The 22,587-nt window shown below is 49.4% G+C and overlaps 1 protein-coding gene across 15 annotated transcripts in view, besides 1 other annotated feature; it reads left to right on the top strand.

Annotated features, from left to right (window-relative positions):
* The window catches only part of ZNF541 (zinc finger protein 541), a 52,620-nt gene extending 33,346 nt beyond the window's left edge, over positions 1 to 19,274 (top strand). For 9 of the 15 annotated variants that reach the window (XM_047439506.1, XM_011527369.3, NM_001277075.3 and 6 more), the window contains 10 exons: positions 86 to 259; positions 1,525 to 1,822; positions 6,992 to 7,055; positions 7,694 to 7,836; positions 8,219 to 8,322; positions 10,312 to 10,387; positions 10,926 to 11,014; positions 17,970 to 18,110; positions 18,310 to 18,485; positions 18,587 to 19,274. In XM_047439506.1, the coding sequence (XP_047295462.1) occupies positions 86 to 259; positions 1,525 to 1,822; positions 6,992 to 7,055; positions 7,694 to 7,836; positions 8,219 to 8,322; positions 10,312 to 10,387; positions 10,926 to 11,014; positions 17,970 to 18,110; positions 18,310 to 18,485; positions 18,587 to 18,740 (1,419 nt within the window). In that variant the 3' untranslated portion in view covers positions 18,741 to 19,274. Of the gene's footprint in view, positions 1 to 85; positions 260 to 1,524; positions 1,823 to 6,991; positions 7,056 to 7,693; positions 7,837 to 8,218; positions 8,323 to 10,311; positions 10,388 to 10,925; positions 11,015 to 17,969; positions 18,111 to 18,309; positions 18,486 to 18,586 lie in introns of those variants that run through there. The other 6 variants (XM_017027351.3, XM_011527373.4, XM_011527372.4 and 3 more) reach the window with 6 other exon arrangements.
* Positions 21,458 to 21,752: a silencer, noted in NCBI's record as "tiled region #13246; K562 Repressive DNase matched - State 10:DNaseD". NCBI's record gives its function as "represses a minimal TATA promoter and a strong SV40 promoter by Sharpr-MPRA in K562 cells {active_cell/tissue: K562}" and the evidence as "EXISTENCE:reporter gene assay evidence [ECO:0000049][PMID:27701403]".

The raw sequence follows: 22,587 nt of genomic DNA, 5'->3' as shown, positions 1-22,587 counted from the left end.
ATGACAGCTTTTTTTGCTGAAGCAGCTCTTCCTTTCCCCACCTACCTTATCTCTTAAAGAGCCATCTCTTCTCTTCTGTGTTTAGGTGTTTGGCACAGAGTTTTGCAAGCCGCTAAGACAGGTGCTGAGGCCAGAAGGGGACAGGCATAGTCCCCCAGGAACCAAGAAGCCCTTGGACCCCACAGCTGCAGCCCCTTTGGTGGTCCCCCAATCGATCCCCGTGGTTCCAGTGACCCGACACATAGGGAGCATGGCCATGGTGGGTGCTTGTCGGCCTGCCTCCTTCCTGCCACTGCCCGCAGCTGCTGGGGGAAGCCGTAGGAAAAACCCAAACCAGATACCACAGAAAATCTTTGACTCCAGGCTGGATGTGGTGGCTCATGCCTGTAATCCCAGCACTTTGGGAGGCTGAGGCGGGTGGATTGCCTGAGCTCAGGTATTCGAGACCAGCCTGGGCAACATGGTGAAACCCTGTGTCTACTAAAAATACAAAAAAATTAGCTGGGCATGGTGGCAGGCACCTGTAAACCCAGCTACTCGGGAGGCTGAGGCCCGAGAATCACTTGAACCCAGGAAGGAGAGGTTGCAGTGAGCTGAGATCACAACACTGCACTCTAGCCTGGGTAACAGAGTGAGACTCTGTCTCAAAAAAAAAAAAAAAAAAAAGAAAATCTTGATCCAGAAGAACCTGGTTTGCATGTTAATTCAGTCATTCAGCATTCACTGAGCCCCTCTGTGCCAGGCCCTGTGCTGGGTGGTGCTGGGGACACAGAGGTGACCACAATAGCCTGGGCCCTGCCTCCCAGGGCTCCTAGTCCAGTGGAGGAGACAGGCCTGTCCCCAGACAGTGACAACCCAGAGTGGGCAGAGCTGGGAGCAGAGGGAGCCCAGAGAGTTCCCAGGGGGCTCCTGACCCAGCCTGAGGAGGTAAGGGAGGGCTTCCTGGAGGAGGAGGTATGGGATCTGAGACCTAGAGGATGAGGAGGAGTAGGGCTGGCAGAGCGGAGAGGAGATTTTGTGGAAGTGAGAGAGAGCATGGTGAGTTACGAGTGATCAGTCTCGTAGGGCTTGTCTCTGCAGCCTGTACTGGAGGACCCCCTACTGAAGAAGCTCCTGCTGGACTCGGGGACACAGTCCGTGGACCTGAAGGTCCCCTGAGTCAGTGGCTGGGTCATTTCGGTGCTTGTCATTTGGGTGGAGCAGCATTTCTTTCTTCACCGTCACACTGTATCTCTGGGGATCTCTCTCTTTTTAAGGGCCAGTCATCTTAATGATTGAGGCTATTCTTACACAGAGTCAGGGGCTCTGCTGGGGCAGTGGGTGCAGGAGAAGGCTGCAGCCGGATCATCGCCAGGCTCAGTACGTCAGGTCTGGCTCAGGTGTGGCCAGCCTCCTTTGCCGGGCGTGCATTTCCTAGTTTCCTGTCTCTGGCCGGTCTCCTTTTCCTGCTCTCTTTCCATCCTGGAGATGGAGTGGTGCAGTAGGTGGCTTCAGGCGACCACCTGTGGTTCTAAACTTCTTCAGGGACAAGAGAAAGACGGGGAGGAGCGAGACAGCAAGGAGAGCAGCCAGCAGAGAAAGCGGAAGAAGCGGCCCCCACCCTCCACGGCTGGGGAGCCTGGCCCTGCAGGATGCCACCAGAGCCGCCTGCGGTCACCCATGTTCCTGGTGGACTGCCTCCTGAAGGGCTTATTCCAGTGCTCCCCCTACACACCACCCCCAATGCTCAGCCCCATCCGGGAGGGCTCTGGGGTGTACTTCAACACCCTCTGTTCCACGTCCACTCAGGCCAGCCCTGACCAGCTCATCAGCTCCATGCTCGGTGAGTGAGGCTGGGGCACTCACTCTGTGATCCCAGGGTGGATTGCCTGCGGACCACAGCCACTCTACCTTGTAGCATTGGGTTCAGTGATTGTCTCCTGCCTGGGTGTACCTAGTCTGAGGGTTCCTTTGCTATTCAGATGTGCCCCAGGACTGATCTAAGTGCCTTCTAGTGCATAGAATTTTACAGCCCGAAAGAAAACGTAGAGGCCATTTAGCCTGACCATGCTTCTGCCTGCCCTTCTGTGTCATTTTCTTTTTCTTTTTTGAGGCAGGGTCTTGCTCTGTCACCCAGGCTGGAGTGCAGTGGCTTGATCACAGCTCACTGCAGCCTCGATCTCCTGGTCTCAAGAGATCCTCCAGCCTCAGACTCCCAAATAGTTGGGACTACAGGTGCGCATCACCACACCTGGCTAATTTTTTATTTTTCTTAGAGATGGGGTCTTGCTATGTTGTCCAGGCTGGTCTCGAGCTCCTGGACTTGTGATTTTGCTGCCTTGACCTCCCAAAGTACTGGCATTAAATGTGTGAGCCACCCTGTCCAGTCTGTGTCATTTCCTTTTTTTTTTTTTTTTTTTTGAGACAGAGTATCACTCTATCACCCAGGCCAGAGTGCAGTGGCGTGATCTTGGCTGACTGAAACCTCCAACTCCCAAGTTCAAGCAGTTCTCCTGCCTCAGCCTCCCAAGTAGCTGGGACTACAGGCGTGCGCCATCATGCCTGGCTAATTTTTGTATTTTTAGTAGAGATGGGATTTCACCATGTTGGCCAGGCTGGTCTCGAGCTCCTGACTTCCAGTGATCCACCCTCCTCAGCCTCCCAAAGTGCTGGGATTACAGGTGTGAGCCACTGTGCCTGGCCTGGCCTATGTAATTTTCCTAACAGATTTATTGAGCTGTACTTCACATACCATGCAAATCACCCATTTAGAGTATGCAGTGATTTTTAGGATATTCACAAGGCCGTGCAACTATCACATAGTCTTAATTTTAGAGCACGCTTAGCATCCCCAGAAGAAGCCAGAGCTCATTAGCAGTGACTCCGCCCATATCCCCACAGTCCCTTCTTCCCCCAGCCTGGGCACCCACTCATCTGCCTTCTCTCTTTGGATTTGCCTATTCAGGACATTTCATGTAAGTAGAATCATACAATATGCAGCCTTTTGTGTCTAGTTTATTTCACTTGGCATGTTTTCAGAGTCCCTTCATATTGTAGTGCATATCAGTGCTCAATTCCTTTTTATGGCCGAACATTTTTCCCTTGTACAGATGGGCCCCATTTTGTTTATTTATCAGTTGATGGACATTTGGGTTGTTTCCACTTTGGGCTATTATGAATAATGCTGCCATAAACATTCATATAGAAATTTTTGGGGTTTTTTTGGGAGACAAGGTCTCACTCTTGTCACCCAGGCTGGAGTGCAGTTGTATGATCACAGCTCACTGCAGCTTCAACCTCCTGGGCTCAACTGATCCTTCTGCTTCGGCCCAGAGTAGCTGGGCCTACAGGCATGCACCCCCATGCCTGGCTAATTTTTTGTAATTGTTTTTATGTAGGGAGGGGGGTCTTGCCATGTTGCCCAGACTGGTCTCAAACTCTGAGGTGGGCCAGGCATGGTGGCTCATGCCTGTAATCCTAGCACTTTGGGAGGCTGGGGCGGGTGGATCACCTAAGGTCAGGAGTTCAAGACCAGGCTGGCCAACATGGCAAAACCTCGTCTCTACTAAAAATATAAAAATTAGACGAGCATGGTGGCGGGTGCCTATAATCCTGGCCACTCAGGAGGCTGAGGCAGGAGAATCGCTTGAACTGAGGGTGCAGTGTTGGGAACAGGCCCCCCAAAATCTGGCCATAAACTGGCCCCAAAACTGGCCATAAACAAAATCTCTGCAGCACTGTGACATGTTCATAATGGCCATGACACCCACGCTGGAAGGTTGTGGATTTACCGGAATGAGGGCAAGGAACACCTGGCCGACCCAGGGCAGAAAACTGCTTAAAGGCGTTCTTAAACCACAAACAATAGCATGAGCGATCTGTGCCTTAAGGACATGCACCTGCTGCAGATAACTAGCCAGACATATCCCTATATTTTGGCCCATCCCTTTGTTTCCTGTAAGGAATACTTTTAATTGATCTATAATCTATAGAAACAATGCTTATCACTGGCTTGCTGTCAATAAATATGTGGGTAAATCTCTGTTCAGGGCTCTTAGCTCTGAAAGCTGTGAGACCCCTGATTTCCCACTCCACTCCTCTATATTTCTGTGTGTGTCTTTAATTCCTCTAGCGCCGCTGGGTTAGGGTCTCCCCGACCGAGCTGGTCTCGGCAGCGGAGGTTGCAGTAAGCCGAGACCATGCCATTTCACTTTAGCCTGGGCGAAAGAGCTAAATTTGGTCTCAAAAAAAAAAAAACAACTCTGGGGTGAAACAGTCCTCCTGCATTGGCCTTCCAAAGTGCTGGGATTAGAGGCCTGAGCCACCACACCCAGCCTTATGTACAGGTTTTTGTGTGGATTTATGTTCTCAGCTCTCTTGGGTAGATAACTAGGAGTGTAGTGCTGGGTCATATGGTAACTCCATATTTAACTGTTTACAAACTGCCGGATTGTTTTCCAAAATGGCTGGGCCACTTTAAATTTCCAGTAGCAGTATATGAACATTTTCATTTCTCCTCCTTCTTGTCAACACTTGTTATTGTCTATCTTTTTAAGTATAACCATCCTAGTAGGTGTAAAGTGGTCCTTTTGCAGGACAAACATTTCTAATTTTCATGAAGCCCAATTTCCTTTCTTTTGTTACTTGTTCTTGTGGTGTTATATGTGAAGATTTGCCTGACCCAAGTCATGCAGAGTCACTCTTGTTTCCCTGTAAGAGTTTTGTAATTTTGGTCCAGGTGCGGTGGCTCACGCCTGTAATGCCAGCACTTTGGGAAGCCGAGGCAGGCGGATCACGAGGTCAGGAGCTCAAGACCAGCCTGGCCAACATGGTGAAATCCCGTCTCTACTAAAAATACAAAAGAATTAGCCGGGTGTGGTGGCAGGCACTGTAATCCCAGCTACTCAGGAGGCTGAGACAGAGAATCGCTTGAACCCAGGAGGCGGAGGTTGCAGTGAGCCAGGATGGCACCACTGCACTCCAGCCTGGGCAACAGAAAAAAAAAAAAAAGAGCTTTGTAATTTTGACTCTTAGGTTAGGTCTGTAATCAATTTGAAGATAACTTTTATATATTACATGAGGTAAAGGTCCAAATTCATTTTTTTGCATGTGTATATGCAGTTCTTCCAGCAGCATTTTTTGAAGACTTCCCATTGAATTGACTCAGCACAATTCATTGTTAGAAATCAATTGACCATAAACGTGTGGGTGTATTTCTGGGTGTTCAATTCTATTGATCTGTATACTTATCCTTATGCCAGTATCACACTGTTTTGATTACTGTAGCTTTTAACTTTTGTTTTTTTGTTTTGGGGGGGTGGTTTGGAGGGGTTTTTTTTTGAGACAGAGTCTTGCTGTGTCACCCCAGCTGGAGTGCAGTGGCATGATCTCGGCTCACTGCAGCCTCTAACTCCCAAGTTAGCCTCCCACTTCAGCCTCCCGAGTAGCTGGGATTACAGGGGTACACCACCACACCAGGCTAATTTTTGTATTTTTAGTAGAGACGGGGTTTTGTTATGTTAGCCAGGCTGGTCTTGAACTCCTGACTTCAGGTGATCCGCCCGCCTCGGCCTCCCAAAGTGCTGGGATTACAGGCGTGAGCCACTGCATCAGGCCTTTTTCTTTAGATATTTCTTTCTGTCTCTTTCTCCTTTCCATCTGGTACTCCTGTTACATGTAGCTGCTGTACTTAATGGTATCCCACATTTCTCTGAGGCTCTCTTTATTTTTCTCTTTGTTCTTCGGATTCCATAGTCTCTACTGATCTGTCTTCAAGTTTACAGATTATTTTCTTCCTGTCAACTCAAACCTATTGAGCCCCATTTTGGTTATTTTATTATTTTCCTCAACAGCTTCACTTGCCAATATTTTACTTTCTAACCCCAGAATTCCCATTTGGTTCTCTCTTTTTAATAATTTCTACCTCTTAATGATATTCTGTCTATGATGAGAAATTGTCATTATACCTTCCTTTAATTCTTTAAGCATGGGAGCTGACAGGAGAGGCAGCCCCTGTCTGGGCTGCACCTACCTGGAATAGAACCCTTGGAGCTGGGAGCTGGCTGGGTAAGGGAGCAGGTCACAGCTCAGATGCAACAGCCTCTTGTTCTTACCAATATTCAGTTGATTATTTTTTATTTTTTATTTTTTTGAGATGGAATCTCACTCTGTTGCCCAGGCTGGAGCACAGTGGCACAGTCTCGGCTCACTCTGCCTCCCAGGTTCAAGTGATTCCTGCCTCAGCCTCCCAAGTAGCTGGGATTACAGGCACATTCCACCACGCCCAGCCAATTTTTGTATTTTCAGTAGAGATGGGGTTTTGCCATGTTGGCCAGGCTGGTCTTGAACTCCTGACCTCAAGTGATCCGCCCACCTCAGTGTCCCAAAGTGCTGGGATTACAGGCGTGAGCCACCCCACCCGGCCTAGTTGATTTTTTTTAATGAATATTTCTCCAAGTGCTGAATGACCTTAGGACAATTTCCAGAGACTTTAGTGTGCTGTTTTTATATATACGTATACTTGTCATGAGTTAATTTGTTAGAGTTCCTTCCTCTACCTTTTCTGAAGTGCTGCCCTTTCCCATGGGATTTTTTTTTTTTTTTTTTTTTTTTTTTTTTTTTTTTTGAGATGGAGTCTCGCTCTGTCGCCCAGGCTGGAGTGCAGTGGCGCGATCTCGGCTCACCGCAAGCTCCGCCTCCTGGGTTCACGCCATTCTTCTGTCTCAGCTGGGACTACAGGCACCCACTACCACGCCCGGCTACTTTTTTTTGTATTTTAAGTAGGAACAGGGTTTCACTGTGTGTTAGCCAGGATGGTCTTGATCTCCTGACCTCGTGATCCTCCCACCTCAGCCTCCCAAAGTGCTGGGATTACAGGCGTGAACCACTGTGCCCGGCCAACCCATGGGATCTTAAAGACCCTGCTTTCAGCTGCGTCCACACAGGCAGGCAGAGGACCCTGTCGGTTACCTGCTGTCTGTCTTCTTGAGCCTTTTCACTCTGTGCTTTCTAGATCAAGTGGATGGGTCCTTTGGCATCTGTGTGGTGAAGGATGACACCAAAATCAGCATTGAGCCGTAAGTTGGGTCCTTTCCAGTGAAGCTGCTTTTACCCCACCTTGAGTTCTAGTGTCACTTTTCCCAAGGGTTCCTTCTTCCCATGGTGGGGTTCAGGTTTACTCACATAGGCTCCCTAGGCGTGAAGCGGTAGATTTTTCCAAATATATGTAGGAAGATCCCCCAATATTATTCCTTCTACAAATATATATATATATATGAAAATCCCCCCAAATTATTCCTTCTAGAAATATATATGTGGCACATGGGGACAGAATGCCCTGGACCTTGGGGTTCCAGGTAGAATTGGTGATGGCACAGAGTGGGACTCAAGCATGCCTGAGGGATGTGGCTGGATGGCTGTGGTGTGGACGTAGACACATGCCGGGTGTCAGCTTGTACCTCCCCTGCCTTGACCCTGAGAGAGAAATGTGGCAATGAAGGAAAACAGAGGAAGGGAGGAAGTGTCCCTGCAGAAGTTTCTGAAATGTCTGTGTGCATCTGTCGGGAACAGCACGTACCTGATGCACCTGAGACAGCAGAGGGTTTCCATGGAGCAGGCTGTGGCCCAAGAGCAGGGCATACAGAGCGTCTCCATTTCACTTCCCATCTCAGTCATGTTTGTACGTCTCCCTTATCTGTGTGTGGCCTCATTTCAGACATATCAATATAGGAAGCCGGTTTCAGGCAGAGATCCCGGAACTCCAGGAGAGATCCCTGGCTGGAACTGACGAGCATGTAGCTTCTCTGGTCTGGAAGCCATGGGGAGATATGATGATCAGCTCAGAGACACAGGATAGAGGTGGCTGAGGCTTTGGGGCTAAATTCCTAAGGGCCCTTCTTCCCCCTCCATTTCCAGGGTGTTTTTCCTCCTAGGTCTGGAACTCCTGACCGCTAGATCCAAGTAGTGTCCCCTGGGCGTGGGAGGGAGCTGGCTCTTGGCCAGCGTTGCTTCTTCCCTGCTGCACTCTCCCTCCCCTACCTCTTTTGTCACATGGTGGCTGGTCAGGCCATCAGGAGTGGGTGCTGGGGACAGGGTTCTGCTCTTCCTCCTTGTCCCTCCCTGAGATGCAGGAGAGAGAAGGGGAAGGCACCCCCTCTCTGCTGTCTTTCGGGAAAGGTTCCTCCCTAGCACCTGATGACTCCTGTGTGCCTCCTCTTCCTCATGTCCTTCTTGGAAACAGTGACCGAGCTCTGCAATGTGGCATGCTCCAGCGTGATGCCAGGAGGGGGCACCAACCTGGAGCTCGCTCTGCACTGCCTGCACGAGGCTCAGGGCAACGTTCAGGTGAGGAACAGCAAGGGGACCCTCCCTGCTTTCCTGGGGCCCAGGGTTCTAGGTGCATGTGACGTGCTGTCTGCTTGGGGGTTCAGAGCGGATGGAAGCTGGAAGAAGGCCGCCCATCCTCCTCCACAGCGGCTTTGGGATTGCAGTGGTCCTTGTGCACGGACTGTAGGGGAATGCTAAGACGTGGGCCCAATTCATAGCTACTTGTCTGGGGCAACAATCAAGCGCAGGGGTTCCTCTGAGATCTCAGGGGGCACTGGAGAAGGGAAGCCCCAAAGACCCAGCTCAGGCCCTGCATTCATCTACTTAATTCCTTGAGTTTTAGCTTTCAATTGAAAACTTATATATACAAACCTCTGATGCAACATAAATGCCTCTACCTACTCCAAGGACCCCCCCCCCCCCCCCCGCTCACAATTCTGGGTGTTAGAAAGTATATTAAAAGTCTAACTGTGAGGAGCGGGAGAGGAAGAGCCACATTGCCTGTGTTAAGGATCTAAGAGTCATGCCATGGTCTTGCTTTTCACCAACCTGAGAGGCAGTGTCTGGCATATAGCAGGTCCTCAGCAGAGTGGCAGTACATATTTATTGGGTACCTGCTGGTTGCCTGTACTGTAGGCACTGGGGCCAGGGCCAGCTGAGGGGCTCCACGCTTGGTTTAATGCTCTGCTGTCTCTGTCTTGAAATTCTTGGCCAGGCGCGGTGGCTCACGCCTGTAATCCCAGCACTTTGGGAGGCCGAGACGGGTGGATCACCTGAGCTCAGGAGTTCGAGACCAGCCTGGACAACATGGTAAAACCCCATCTCTACTAAAAATAAAAAAATTAGCCAGGCATGGTGGTGGGCGCCTGTAATCCCAGCTACTTGGGAAGCTGAGGCAGGAGAATTGCTTGAACCTGGGAGGTGGAGTGCAGTTGCAGTGAGCCGAGATCGCACCACTGCACTCCAGCCTGGGCAACAGAGTGAGACTCCGTCTCAAAAAAGAAAAAAAAAGAAAAGAAATTCTTAATACTTTTTAAACAAGGAGTCCTGCATCTTCATTTTGCAGTGGGCCCCACAAATTATGCAAACCCTGCAATGATGGCTTACACTTGTGATTGAGATAAAATCCCTGCCCTCAGGGGGCTTACATTTTAGGAAAGTCAAATTGTTAGCTAGGCCAGGCGCATGGCTCACGCCTGTAATCCCAGCACTTTGGGAGGCCAAGGCGGGGGTGGATCACCTGAGGTCGTGAGTTCGAGACCAGCCTGGCTAACATGGTAAAATCCCGTCTCTACTAAAAATACAAAAAAAAAAAAAAAAAAAATTAGCAGGGAGTGGTGGCAGATACCTGTAGTCCCAGCTAGTTGGGAGGCTGAGGCAGGAGAATCACTTGAACTGGGGAGGTGGAGGCTGCAGTGAGCCAAGATCATGCCACTGCACTCCAGCCTGGGTGACAGAGCAAGACTCTGTCTCAAAAAAAAGAAAAAACAAAGAAAATTGTTAGCTAGCTGGGTACAGTGGTACCCACCTGTATTCCTGGCTACTTGGGAGGCAGAGGCTGAAGGAGCCCAGAAATTGGAGCTCAGCCTGGACAACATAGTGAGACCTCATCTTTAAAAATAAAATGTTTTCAATTGTTAGCTATTGACTAGTGCTATGAAGAAAATAAAAATGGGGCCCTACGCAAGGGTCATACTCCTCAAAATGCCAGTCCCTGAGGGAGTAAGGAGCTTGTGCCAGAATAAATCCACACACAGTCTCCTTCGTCAGGATAGGCTTGCTGTGAAAAAATAACTTCAGCTGCATTCAGTGGTGTGCCTGGTGACACGGTTGATGCACGCACAGACAGTTCACAGGCTGGTGGCCCATCCAGGGCAACTTTGAATAGCCCTGGGACAGGCAGTGTCTTCAGGGACAGCCGCAAGTGTTTTTCAGATGAATGGGAGGATGCCTGTGGTCCTCTTCCCCCACCTGGTCCTGGGCAGCCTGTCGCTCCTCTTGTTCCAGGTCGCCCTGGAGACTCTTCTGCTCCGAGGGCCCCACAAGCCACGGACACACCTGCTCGCTGACTATCGCTACACAGGTGACGGGGAAAGGCTGCTGAGCTGGTTTGGCCCAGCTGAGACCCCTATGAATCGGCCAGCTCTGTTGCAAGCTCTGCCCCTGCCTCCTGGAGTTCTCCTCGGGACCTTTGCCTGCCTTTCAGGAGGGCCTGTCCTTGTCGGGATGACTCAGTGGGCGCCACATTCTGCTAGTGGGATCCTGCTTCGCCCTTTCCCAGTGGTTTCCTTACGGACTCTGCCCAGCTGGAAGGGGAATGATCATGGCCAGGGGGAGGGAAGATGGGCTTAGGTTCAGTGGTTGAACCCATCAGCTCTGGAAACAGGATGCCAGGGCCCCCACCTGCCTTTAGCAAGCGACTGAAGCCTCAGTTGCCACATCTGTTAAGTGGGGCTAGTAGTGGTCCCTCCCTTCTGGAGACTTTTTGAGTTTTTTATGAGATTGGCACATAATTGGTACTCAGTAATGGCAGCTATAAATGGGAAGGTGGTCTGCATTTCAGCCATGGCTGTGGTCCCAGGACAAATGGCCTTCCCCCTGTTGGCTGTGTTCTTTGATAGGTTCAGACGTCTGGACCCCTATAGAGAAGAGGCTTTTTAAGAAGGCGTTCTATGCCCACAAGAAGGACTTCTACTTGATACACAAGATGGTAAAGTGAATGTGGGCTGGTGTCCAAGGCCCTGCCTCACACAGCTGAGACAAGCTAGAGCTGCAGGGCTGGTCGGGGGTCGGAGGGCCCCACCCTCACCTGCCTGTGGCAGCACTCTTACTGTAGACAGTTTACAATGTCAAAAAGCTATCCTCATGAACAGCTCCAGATGGTACAGACCTGCATCACCTGCACAGAACAGTCTTCCATGCCCCTCCCCGCAGTCCTACTTCTGCTTGGCAACCTCTGTTACCTATTCCACCAAGCAACAGGCATTTCTGTCTGTACAAATTTTATATATATAGGTATGCATGTACTTTAAAAAAGATAAGGGCCGGCCATGGTGGCTTACGCCTGTAATCCCAACACTTTGGGAGGCCAAAGGCGGGAGGATCACTTGAGATCAGGAGTTCAAGACCAGCCTGGCCAACATGGTGAAACCCTGTCTCTACTAAAAATACAAAAATTAGCCGGGCATGGTGGTGAGTGCCTGTAATCCCAACTAGTTAGGAGGCTGAGGCATGAGAATCGTTTGAACCCGGGAGGCAGAGTTGCAGTGAGTGGGGATTGTGCCACTGCACTCCAGGCTGGGCAACAGAGTAGGACTCTGTCTCTTTTTTTTTTTTTTTTTTTTGAGACGGAGTTTTGCTCTTGTTGCTCAGGGTGGAGTGCAGTGGCGCAATCTTGGCTCACCGCAACCTCCGCCTCCCGGGTTCAAGCGATTCTCCTGCCTCAGCCTTCCGAGTAGCTGGGATTACAGGCATGCGCCACCATGCCCAGCTAATTTTGTATTTTTTAGTAGAGATGGGGTTTCTCCATGTTGGTCAGGCTAGTCTCGAACCCCCGACCTCAGGTGATCCACCTGCCTCAGCCTCCCAAAGTGCTGGGATTACAGGCGTGAGCCACGGCGCCCGGCCCAGGACTCTGTCTCAAAAAAAAAAAAAAAAAAAGGGCCTGGCGTGGTGGTTTATGCCTGTAATCCCAGCACTTTGGGAGGCCGAGGCATGTGGATCACCTGAGGTTGGGAGTTCGAGACCAGCCTGACCAACATGGAGAAACCCTGTCTCTACTAAAAATACAAAATTAGCTGGGCATGGTGGCACATGCCTGTAATCCCAGCTACTCGGGAGGCTGAGACAGGAGAATCGCTTGAACCCGGGAAGCGGAGGTTGCGGTGAGCCAAGATCTCGCCACTGCACTCCAGCCTGGACAACAAGAGTGAAACTCCGTCTCAAAAAAAGAAAAAAAGGATGAGGTCAGGCGCAGTGGCTCACGCCTGTAATCCTAGCACTTTGGGAGGCCAAGGTGGGAGGATTGCTTGAGGCTAGGAGTTCAAGACCAGCCTGGGCAATATAGTGAGACCTTGTCTCTACAAAAAAGTTAAAAACTAGCCTAGCATGGTGCCGCGTGCTTGTGGTCCCAGCTACTCGGGAGGCTGAGGTGGGAGGATTGCTTGAGCATAGGAGGTGAAGGCTGCAATGAGCCAAGATTGCACCACTGCACTCCAGCCTGGGTGACAAGATGAGACTCTCACCACCCCGAAAAAAGCCAAAGGATGAGATCTCACTGCATATAATGTCCTGCTGCTTATTTTCTGTTCTAAAAAAAAAATTGGATGTATACAAAATTGCACATAATTGCAGTATAATAAGATTTGCTAAGTTTTGACATATTGATACTATACCTGGGAAACCATCACCACAGTCAAGATAATGAGCATGTCCCTCAGCCCTGAATCTCCTCCTGCCACATAGTAATCACTCCCCATTGCACCCCCTGTCCTCAGTCAGCACTGATCTGCCAGGGCACTGTAAATTCGTTTTCATTTCCTAGAGTTTGCTATAAATGGAGTAGTCACACAGTATGGACTCTACTTGGTCCAGCTTTCTCACACTCAGCATCATGATTTTGAGTTCATCCATGTTCCAGGTATTGATAGGTCTCCCCTTTTCACTGCTGAATAGTATTCCACTGGGTGGATGTACCACGGTTTAAAGAATCATTTGCCTGTTGGTGGACATTTGAGTGGTTTCCAGTTTGGGATGACTATAAATAAATTCGTTATGAACATTCAGGTACCAGTCTTGGTATGGACATGTACTTTGTTTTCTAGAGGAGTAAATACCAGGAATGGAATGACTTAGTAGGTGTATGCTTAACTTTTTAAGAAACCGCCAAACAATTTTCCAAAGTAGTTGTATCATTTCACATTCCTACCGGCAGGAAAAGAGATTTCTAGTTGCTCCACAAACTCGCTAGCCCTGGGTAGGGCCAGTCCTTTTAATTCCAGCCATTCTCATGACAGTGTGGTGGCATCGCATTGTGTTTCCTTCACAACTGACGATGCTGAGCATCTTTTCATGGGCCTGTTTGCTGTCTGTATGCCTTATTTGGTGAGGTGTCTGTTCATATCTCTTGCATATGTTTTTATTGAGATGTCTGTGTTTTCTTTTTTTTTTTTTTTTTTTGAGATGGAGTCTCACTCTGTTGCCCAGGCTGGAATGCAGTGGCGCAATCCATGCTCACTGCAACCTCTGCCTCCCAGGTTCAAGCGATGCTCCTGCCTTAGCTTCCTGAGTAGCTGGGATTACAGGCGCCTGCTACCACGCCTGGCTAATTTTTGTATTTTTAGTAGGGACGGGGTTTTGCTATGTTGACCAGGCTGGTCTCGAACTCCCAACCTCAGGTGATCTGCCCACCTTGGCCTCCCAAAGTGCTGGGATTACAGGCGTGAGCCACCGCGCCCAGCCGGCTGTGTTTTTATTATTGAGTTACAGCAGTTCTTTATTGATTCAGGACACGTCATTTATCCAGATCCATGCTTTGTGAATGTTTTCTCCCAATCTGTAGCTTTTTAATCTCTTAACAATGTCTTTTAAAGAAAAATTTTGTCATTTTGATGAAGTCATTTATTAATTTTTCTTTTATGGACTGTGCTTTTGGTGTTGTATCTAAGAATTCTTTGCCTAACCCAACCACAAAGATTTTCCCCTTGTTTTCTCTAGAAGTTTTTTTTTTTTTTTTTTTTTTTTGTGAGACGGAGTCTCGCTCTGTCGCCCAGACTGGAGTGCAGTGGCGAGATCTTGGCTCACTGCAAGCTACGCCTTCCAGGTTCATGCCATTCTCCTGCCTCAGCCTCCCGAGTAGCTGCGACTACAGGCACATGCCACCACCATGCCCGCCTAATTTTTTGTATTTTTAGTAGAGACGGGGTTTCACCGTGTTAACCAGGATGGTCTCTATCTCCTGACCTCGTGATCTGCCCGCCTCGGCCTCCCAAAGTGCTGGGATTACAGGCGTGAGCCACCTTGCCCGGCCTTCTCTAGAAGTTTTATAGTTTTAGGTTTTACAATTAGGTTTACAATTCAGTTTGTGTTAATTTTTGTATATGGTGTAAAGTATGAGTTAAAGTTCATTTTTTGCATGTGGATATTCATTTGTACCTTTTGTTGAAAAGACAAAAAAATGTAATACCATACTGTTTTTACTACTGTAGCTTTCTAAGTCTTAAGATCATGTATTACCATATGAACTTTCTAAGTAGCTTATCCATTTTTACCAAAAAAAACAAAACAAAACAAAACAAAAAACCTGCTAGGATTTTGATTGGTACTGCATTGGCTCTATAGGCCAATTGAGGAGAGTTGACTTTTTTTTTTTTTTGGAGACAGAGTTTCACTCTCGTTGCCCAGGCTGGAGTGCAGTGGCGCGCTCTTCACTCACTGCAACGTCCACCTCCCGGGTTCAAGCGATTCTCGTACCTCAGCCTCCCGAGTAGCTGGGATTACAGGTGCGCACAACCACACCTGGCTAATTTTTGTATTTTTAGTAGAGACAGGGTTTCACCATGTTGGCCAGGCTGATCTTGAACTCCTGACCTCAGGTGATCTACCTGCCTCAGCCTCCCAAAGTGCTGGGATTACAGGCGTGAGCCACCGCACCCAGCCAAGGAGAGTTGACATTCTAACAACATTCAGTTTCTGACTCATGAACAGGGGCTGTGTCTCTATGCATCATCTTTAATTTCTCTTAGCAGTGTTTTGAAGGTTTTACTGGTTCTTATTTCTTTTAAGATCTAGGATCTCACTCTGTCGCCCAAGCTGGAGTACAGGGGTGTGATCATAGTTCACTGCACCCTTTGACCTCCTGGGCTCAAGTGATCCTCCAACTTTGAGTAGCTGGGACTACAGGTGTGTGCAATCACACCTAGCTCTGGTATAACTCTTTTTTTTTTTTTTTTTTTAGACAGAGTCTCGCTATGTCACCCAGTCTGGAGTGCAGTGGTACGATCTCAGCTCACTGTAACCTCCACCTCCTGGGTTCAAGCGATTCTGCTGCCTCAGCCTCCTGAGTAGCTGGGATTACAGGTGCGTGCCACCACACCCGGCTAAATTTTTTGTATTTTTAGTAGAGATGGGGTTTCCCCATGTTGGCCAGGGTGGTCTCAAACTCCTGACCTCAGGTGATCCTCCTGCCTCGGCCTCCCAAAGTGCTGGGATTTCAAGTGAGCCACCGCGCCTGGCCTCTGGCATAACTCTTTGAACATATATTAAACAGTTATGGTAACCTTTCATGTCCTTCCCTGCTCATTCTAACACCTGTGTCTCTGGTGGGTTGACTTTGATACATTGGGTTTTCTCCTCCTGATGTGCCGTGTTATCCTGCGTCTTTGCGTGCATGGTGATTTTCACCAGATCACGGGCATTGTGAATGTTAGCTGTTGGATGCTGGATATTTTTGCAGCCTTGTAAATATTCTTGAGTTTTGTTCTGGGACACAGTTACTTTTAGGTTCAGTTTTAGATTTTTTAGATGGGACCAGCATAGCTCTTCTCTAAGGCTGATTATTTCTCCTTACTGAGGCAAGACTGTGTCACTGCCCTACCCAGTGCCCCCTGCATCATAAAATTTCCCACTCTGGCTGTGGGAACGGGCACTCTTCCTGGCCCTGTAGGAGCAGCACACACTTTCCCCTCTCATCCTTTTGGATGGCTCTTTGCCCAGCTTTGGCTGGTCTCTTCCCATGCATGTGCTGGGCAGTCTTTGGGTGAGTTCTTGGGGGAAATTTGCTCCCCATCTCTGGAATGTTCTGTGTGTAGCTCTCTCCTCTCCCATCCTCTGTCCTGTGGGCTCTACCGCCGTGGTCTCCGGAGGCACTGTGCTCCACCTCAGCTCCCTAAGTCCTGCTGGGTTCTGCCTAAATTGCCCCTGCCTGGGTGGTGGCCTGGAAACACAAGTTGATAAGCTGGAGCGGTGGCAGCTTGCTTCCTGTCAGGGTTCACTGCCCTTTGTTGAATGACGCCTGGTGTCTTGCCAAACATTGTTTATATTTTGACTCTGTGTTTTCATTGTTTTGGACGAGAGGGTAAATCTGGTTCTGTTGCTCCATCTTGTTCAGAAGCAGAAGTCCAACTTTTTTTTAAACTTAGTGATGTCTCTTAGGCAGAGTTTGTGCTGTTTTGACTCCTCGTTTGTGAATACTCACAAAGCTGAAAAACATTTGGGTGGAGAATGTCTTTTCTGGAGTTCGCTCAATAGCCGATTTAATTTCCCAAGAAATTTTCTTCCTAGAGCAATTAAACTTTTCCTTTTTTTTTTTTTTTTTTTTTTTAAAAGAGACGCTCGCCGGGCGCGGTGGCTCACGCCTGTAATGCCAGCACTTTAGGAGGCTGAGGCAGGTAGATCACAAGGTCAGGAGTTCGAGACCAGCCTGGCCAATAAGGTGAAACCCCGTCTCTACTAAAAACACAAAAAAATAGCTGGGCATGGTGGTGCGCGCCTATAGTCCCAGCTACTCGGGAGGCTGAGGCAGAGGAATTGCTTGAACCTGGGAGGTGGAGGTTGCAGTGAAAAAAAAAAAAGATACTCGCTCTGGAGTACCGTGACACTATCATAGCTCACTGCTGGCCGGGTGCGGTGGTTCAGGCCTGTAATCCCAGCACTTTGGGAGGTCGGGGCAGGCAGATCACCTGAGGTCAGGAGTTCAAGACCAGCCTGGCCAACATGGTGAAACCCTGTCTCTACAAAGATACAAAAATTAGGTGGGCATGATGGAGGGTACCTATAATCCCAGCTACTCAGGAGGCTGAGGCAGGAGAATCACTTGGACCCGGGAGGCGGAGGTTGCAGTGAGCCAAGATCGTGCCATTGCACTCCAGCCTGGGCGACAGAGCGAGATTCTGTCTCAAAAAAAAAAAAAAAAAAAAGGCTCACTGCAGCCTTGAACACCTGGGCTCAAGCGATCATCTCGCCTCAGCATCTTAAGTAGCTGGGACCACAGGCATGCACCACCATGACTGGCTAATTTTTTAAAAATTCTGTAGAGATGGGGTCTTGCTATGTTGCCCAGGCTGGTCTTGAACTCCTGACCTCAAGTCGTCCTCCTGCCTCAGCCTCTCAAAGTGCTGGGATTACAGGCGTGAGCCACCAAGCCCAGCTTCCCTTTTGTTTTTAACAGAAGTTATTTTTAGTGGGATCCTTTCTTAGTGGAGGAACGGGAAAATAATCCCCTAGGTTCACACTGTGCACTCAAAACCTCCCCTTCTTCTAGAGTGGGTCACTTCCTGCCAAGACTTTAGAGGCTCTGCCTAGCTGTTGTAATGTCTGTGTGGTATTCTGCCTGCAGAGAGCATTCCGATTTATTAGCATGATGTCACAGTTGGCATCCCTGGTGCAACCTTTGTGCCCATCTTCCTTAGGAAAGAATTCCTGAGCTGGAATGGCTGCTCAGAGTGTGCAGGCTTAGGTACTGGTGGCTACTATGTGGCTCCAGTTTGAACGCCCTCGTCCCCAGGAAGGATTTTGTGGTCCTGTGCCTTTGTGGTGAGTGGTAACGCCAAGCCAAAGGAAGAGGTGCTTCCGGAGGGCTTTCCAAAGGAGGCGGCCGGCCCAATGGCAAGGTCACACTCCCAGGGCCCGCGTGGCACAGCCACAGCCTGCTTGTTTTCTTTCACTAGATCCAGACAAAGACGGTAGCTCAGTGCGTTGAGTATTATTACATCTGGAAAAAAATGATCAAGTTTGACTGTGGCCGAGCCCCAGGGCTAGAAAAGAGGGTCAAGAGAGAGCCGGAGGAAGTGGAAAGGACAGAGGAAAAGGTAGAGGAACCAGGGCTGTGTCGGGAGCTCTTCTCTCCTCCCAGTGCCTGCTACCCGTTGAGTTGGACGGTGGGGTCAGAGGGCGGGGGTGCTCCTGATGGAAGGGTTTTCCTGCAGGAGACACGTATGCCCCCAGCTCTGTGTCTCTCTTACAGCAGGACAGGTCAGCACCCTTATGTCACTTTTGCTCCCTCTGCAGGTCCCATGCAGCCCTCGGGAGAGACCCAGCCACCATCCAACTCCCAAGTTAAAGACCAAGAGTTATAGGAGGGAGTCCATCCTCAGCTCCAGCCCAAATGCAGGCTCCAAGCGGACCCCCGAGCTGTTGGGAAGTGCAGAGAGCCAGGGCATTTTTCCATGCAGAGAGTGTGAAAGGTACCCAGCTTTCTCCTGGAAACACTCCCAGGGCTCCCAGCCTCAGCCCCTGTGATCCCTTCCTCCCTGCTCTGACCCCATGTCCTCTGGTGACTCCTCAGGGTGTTTGACAAGATCAAGAGTCGAAATGCCCATATGAAGCGGCACCGCCTTCAGGACCACGTGGAGCCCATCATCAGGGTGAAGTGGCCAGTGAAGCCCTTCCAGCTAAAGGAAGAGGAGCTGGGAGCTGACATCGGCCCCCTGCAGTGGTGACTCCCGTGGCAGCAAGTCCGAATGGGGCCTCCAGTGCTGCCCCTCCTCCCTTCGGCCTCTCCAGGGCGTTTGGGGCACCCCTCTGCCTCCCCCCACCCTCCCTGTCCCCTGTTGGCCAACCTGCCTGCAAACATGGAGGGCATTTGGCCACAGATAGGCAGGAGGAGCTCAGTTGTCGGACAGCTATGCAGTCCCTGTCCGGTGGTGCTGGAGGCTCCACTCTCCTTAGGTTCATAGTCTCTCCCCTTCTTTCCCTTCCACTTCTAGAGCAGGGAGGCTTGGGGAGGGGAAAATTTAGCTCTGGGTAGCTCTTAAATCTTAGCCTCAGTTGTGGGGTTTGGTTTCATGTGTTAGATAAGGCCAAGACTTAGAGAATCAGTGGGAAAAAACCTTGAGATCTCCAACACGCTGGGCCCCTCCCTGGGGCGGGGACTCTACCTTCCAGATTCAGTCCCTAGTCTTGCGATGAATTCTGCATTGTTCGGTGTTTTTTGTACATGTCAACTCGTAAATCTGATTAAATTGGGTTCTTGAGCTGCTGTCTTTGACTTCCCTGCCTATTGATCCAATAAAGGCTTAGGAACCCCACCACGTGCTAAGGGCAGGAGGTGAGTCAGCTGTGGCCTGCCCTGGGGGCTGGGGGCCTTGGGGAGAACACGGGCATGTTGATTTGGACATTCATTCAGCAAACATCTACGAAGCACCTGCTGTAGAATGCACTGGACGTTGCCAATCCGTACAACAGGGATAGTGAAGCAAGAGAGGCCCTTTTCCTCACGGACCTTCTCTTGTAGGAGCAGGAAGGTAGCAGTAATAAGCAAACAAGGTGATTTTAGGTCATGGTACTGGAAATGCTTTTGACTGTAACAGAAGAGTTGGTGTTGATTTAAACAATCATGGAGTTTGGCTGTCCCAGTAGGGGCTCAGCCTTGAAATCAGGGACCCCTGGCAGGGGCAGGGGCAGGGGCAGAACGAGGGCTCCAGCAGAGGCGAGAATAACCTCGAACCAAAATCCAGACCGGCAGGGGGCGGGCGGCGGGGGAAAGAAGAGAAAACAGCCCCCCTCCCTGCCTCCCTTTTTAAGAGTGAGGAAAACTTTTAACAGCTCCCAGCAGATGCCCGTATGTCTCATTGAGCCTGTGTTCGCTTCTAAACTGATCCCTGTTAGTGAGAAGGGAAATGACCACAGTTAGCCTAGACCACTCAAGATGCAGCTCCATGGCCAGGTGCAGTGGCTCTCTCCACTAATCCCAGCACTTTGGGAGGCCAAGGCGGGCGGATCATGAGGTCAAGAGATCAAGACCATTGTGGCCAACATGGTGAAACCCCATTTCTCCTAAAAATACAAAAATTAGCTGGGTGTGGTGCCACATGACTATAATCCCAGTGACTTGGGAGGCTGAGGTAGGAAAATCGCTTGAACCTGGGAGGTGGAGATTGCAGTGAACCGAGATTGCGTCACTGCATTTCGGCCTGGTAGAGGAAGACTCCATCAGAAAGAAAGAAAGAAAAGAAAGGTAGGCTCCGCAGTGGCTCACACCTGTAATCCCAGCACTTTGGGAGGTCAAGGTAGGTGGATCATTTGAGGTCAGGAGTTTGAGACCAGCCTGGCCAACATGGTGAAACTCCGTCTCTACTAAAAATGCAAAAAAATTAGCCAGGCATGATGGTGAACACCTGTAGTCCCAGTTACTCAGGAGGCTGAGGCAGGAGAATCACTTGAACCTGGGAGGTGGAGGTTGCAGTGGGCCAAGATCGCGCCACTGCACTCCAGCCTGGGCGACAGAGTTGTCAGTGGCTCACACATCAGTGGGAGGTGGTCAAGGAAAGGACAGATCAAGGCCAGCAGGGCAGGTTTGAGCCTGAGCAGCTGTAGTTGATGCCATTAGCTCAGATGGGGAATTGACTGCAGAGGATTGATTGCATCAGGGTGTGATCGTGTCTATGATAGGGTGAGCCGTGTTCTGAAGAGCTGGGAAAGTAGACGGCAGCGTGAGAAGGTTTCACAGAGGGCCCACCTATCAGCTAAGGCTTAAAGATTGGCTGGGAGTGGGGCAGAGGTGGACGCTGAGTTTGAAGCAGTTGGAACACTGCAGTTAAGGGAAAGGGTTCAGGTGTGAGATGAACCTCAATTCCATCCTGGCTCCTCTTACCTCCTTGTAAACTAGGGCGAATCACTTTCCCTGTGGGAGCCTCAGTTTTCTCAATCTGTAAAATGGGATGAAAATTGCCCCTCCTCAACCCCCGCAACCTATCAGTTAAATAAAATGTAAATTATGGCCAGGCGTGGTGGCTTACGCCTGTAATGCCAGCACTTTGGAAGTCCAAGGTGGGCGGATCACTTGAGGTCAGGAGCTCGAGACCAGCCTGGCCAACATGGTGAAACCCCATCTCTACTAAAAATATAAAATACAAAATTAGCCAGGTGTGGTGGTACATGACTGTAATCCCAGCTACTTGGGTGGCTAAGGCACAAGAATTGCTTGAATCCAGAGGCAGAGGTTGCAGTGAGCAGAGATCGTGCCACTGCACTCCAGCCTGGGCAACAGAGCAAGACTCCATGTCAAAATAAATAAATAAATAGAAATAAAATGTAAATTAAGCACTTGGGAGGGTGCACCATAAGAACTGAATGGCTACTAGTTAACAAGCTCTCATGTGATTGCTAATATTGTTTGGATCCCATCCTAAATAAATCCAATGAACTCTGGAAATGGAAAAAAATTCCCTGGTTGAAAAGGCTGAGGGGTTATATTATCTGTTGCTGCATGACAAATTACCCTGAAATGGAACAGCTTAAACAGAAGCTTTTACATAGTGTTGCTTTGACAGACATGGAACCAAAACCGCTTGTGGTAATCCAGGCTCACCCCCACCTGCTCTGTGGTCAGGACACAGTGGCAACCACAAGTAGGTGGTCCAGGCAAGTCTATTCATGTATGAAGAGAGTTGGGGGAAGGCTTCTTATGCCTTGCTCGGCTCAGCCAACCCCCTAGATAATAGCGGTTTCTCAAACTGTGGTCCCGGGATTATCTGCATCCTAATTTTACTTTTTTTTTTTTTTGAGATGAGACAGGGTCTCACTCTGTTGTCCCGGTTGGAGTGCAGTGGCACAGTCATAGCTCACTGCAGCCTCAAACTCCTGGGGTCAAACAATCCTCCCACCTCAGCCTCCCAAGGAGTAATTAAAATTTTTTTAATTTTGTGGAGATAGGATCTTGCTTTTTGCCTAGGTTGGTCCTTAACTCCTAGGCTCAAGCGGTCCTCCCGCCTTGGTCTCCCAGAGTGTTGGGATTACAGGCATGAACCACCAGGTCTGGCTGCATCCTAATTATATAGGGTTCTGTTTTTTAAAAATGCAGATTCCTGTGACCCACCACAGACTCAGAATTGGAACCATTGTGGGTACGGCCTTGGAAACTGTTTTATTTAAAGAAGATTTTTAGGATAGTTTTAGATTTGTAGAAAAACTGCAATGACAGCAAAAAAAAATTCCCACATACCCCAGTTTCCCCTATGATTAACATCTTATATTAGAATGGTACATTTATTACCACGTATGAACCAGTATGGCACAATATTATTAACTAAACTTCATAGTTTATTTAGATTTCCTTAGTGTTTTTGTTTGTTTTGAGATGGAGTCTCACTCTGTCACCCAGGCTGTAGCACAGTGGCACAATCTCGGCTCACCACAACCTCCACCTCCTGGGTTCAAGCAATTCTGCTTCAGCTTCCTGAGTAGCTGGGACTATAGGCGCCCTCCACCAGGCCCAGCTAATGTTTGTATTTTTAGTAGAGACAGTGTTTCTCCATGTTAGCCAGGCTGGTCTGGAACTCCTGACCT

The sequence above is a fragment of the Homo sapiens genome, chromosome 19 (assembly GCF_000001405.40).
Source record: "Homo sapiens chromosome 19, GRCh38.p14 Primary Assembly".
NCBI lineage: Eukaryota > Metazoa > Chordata > Mammalia > Primates > Hominidae > Homo > Homo sapiens.
This window is presented reverse-complemented; position numbering and strand designations above follow the sequence as displayed.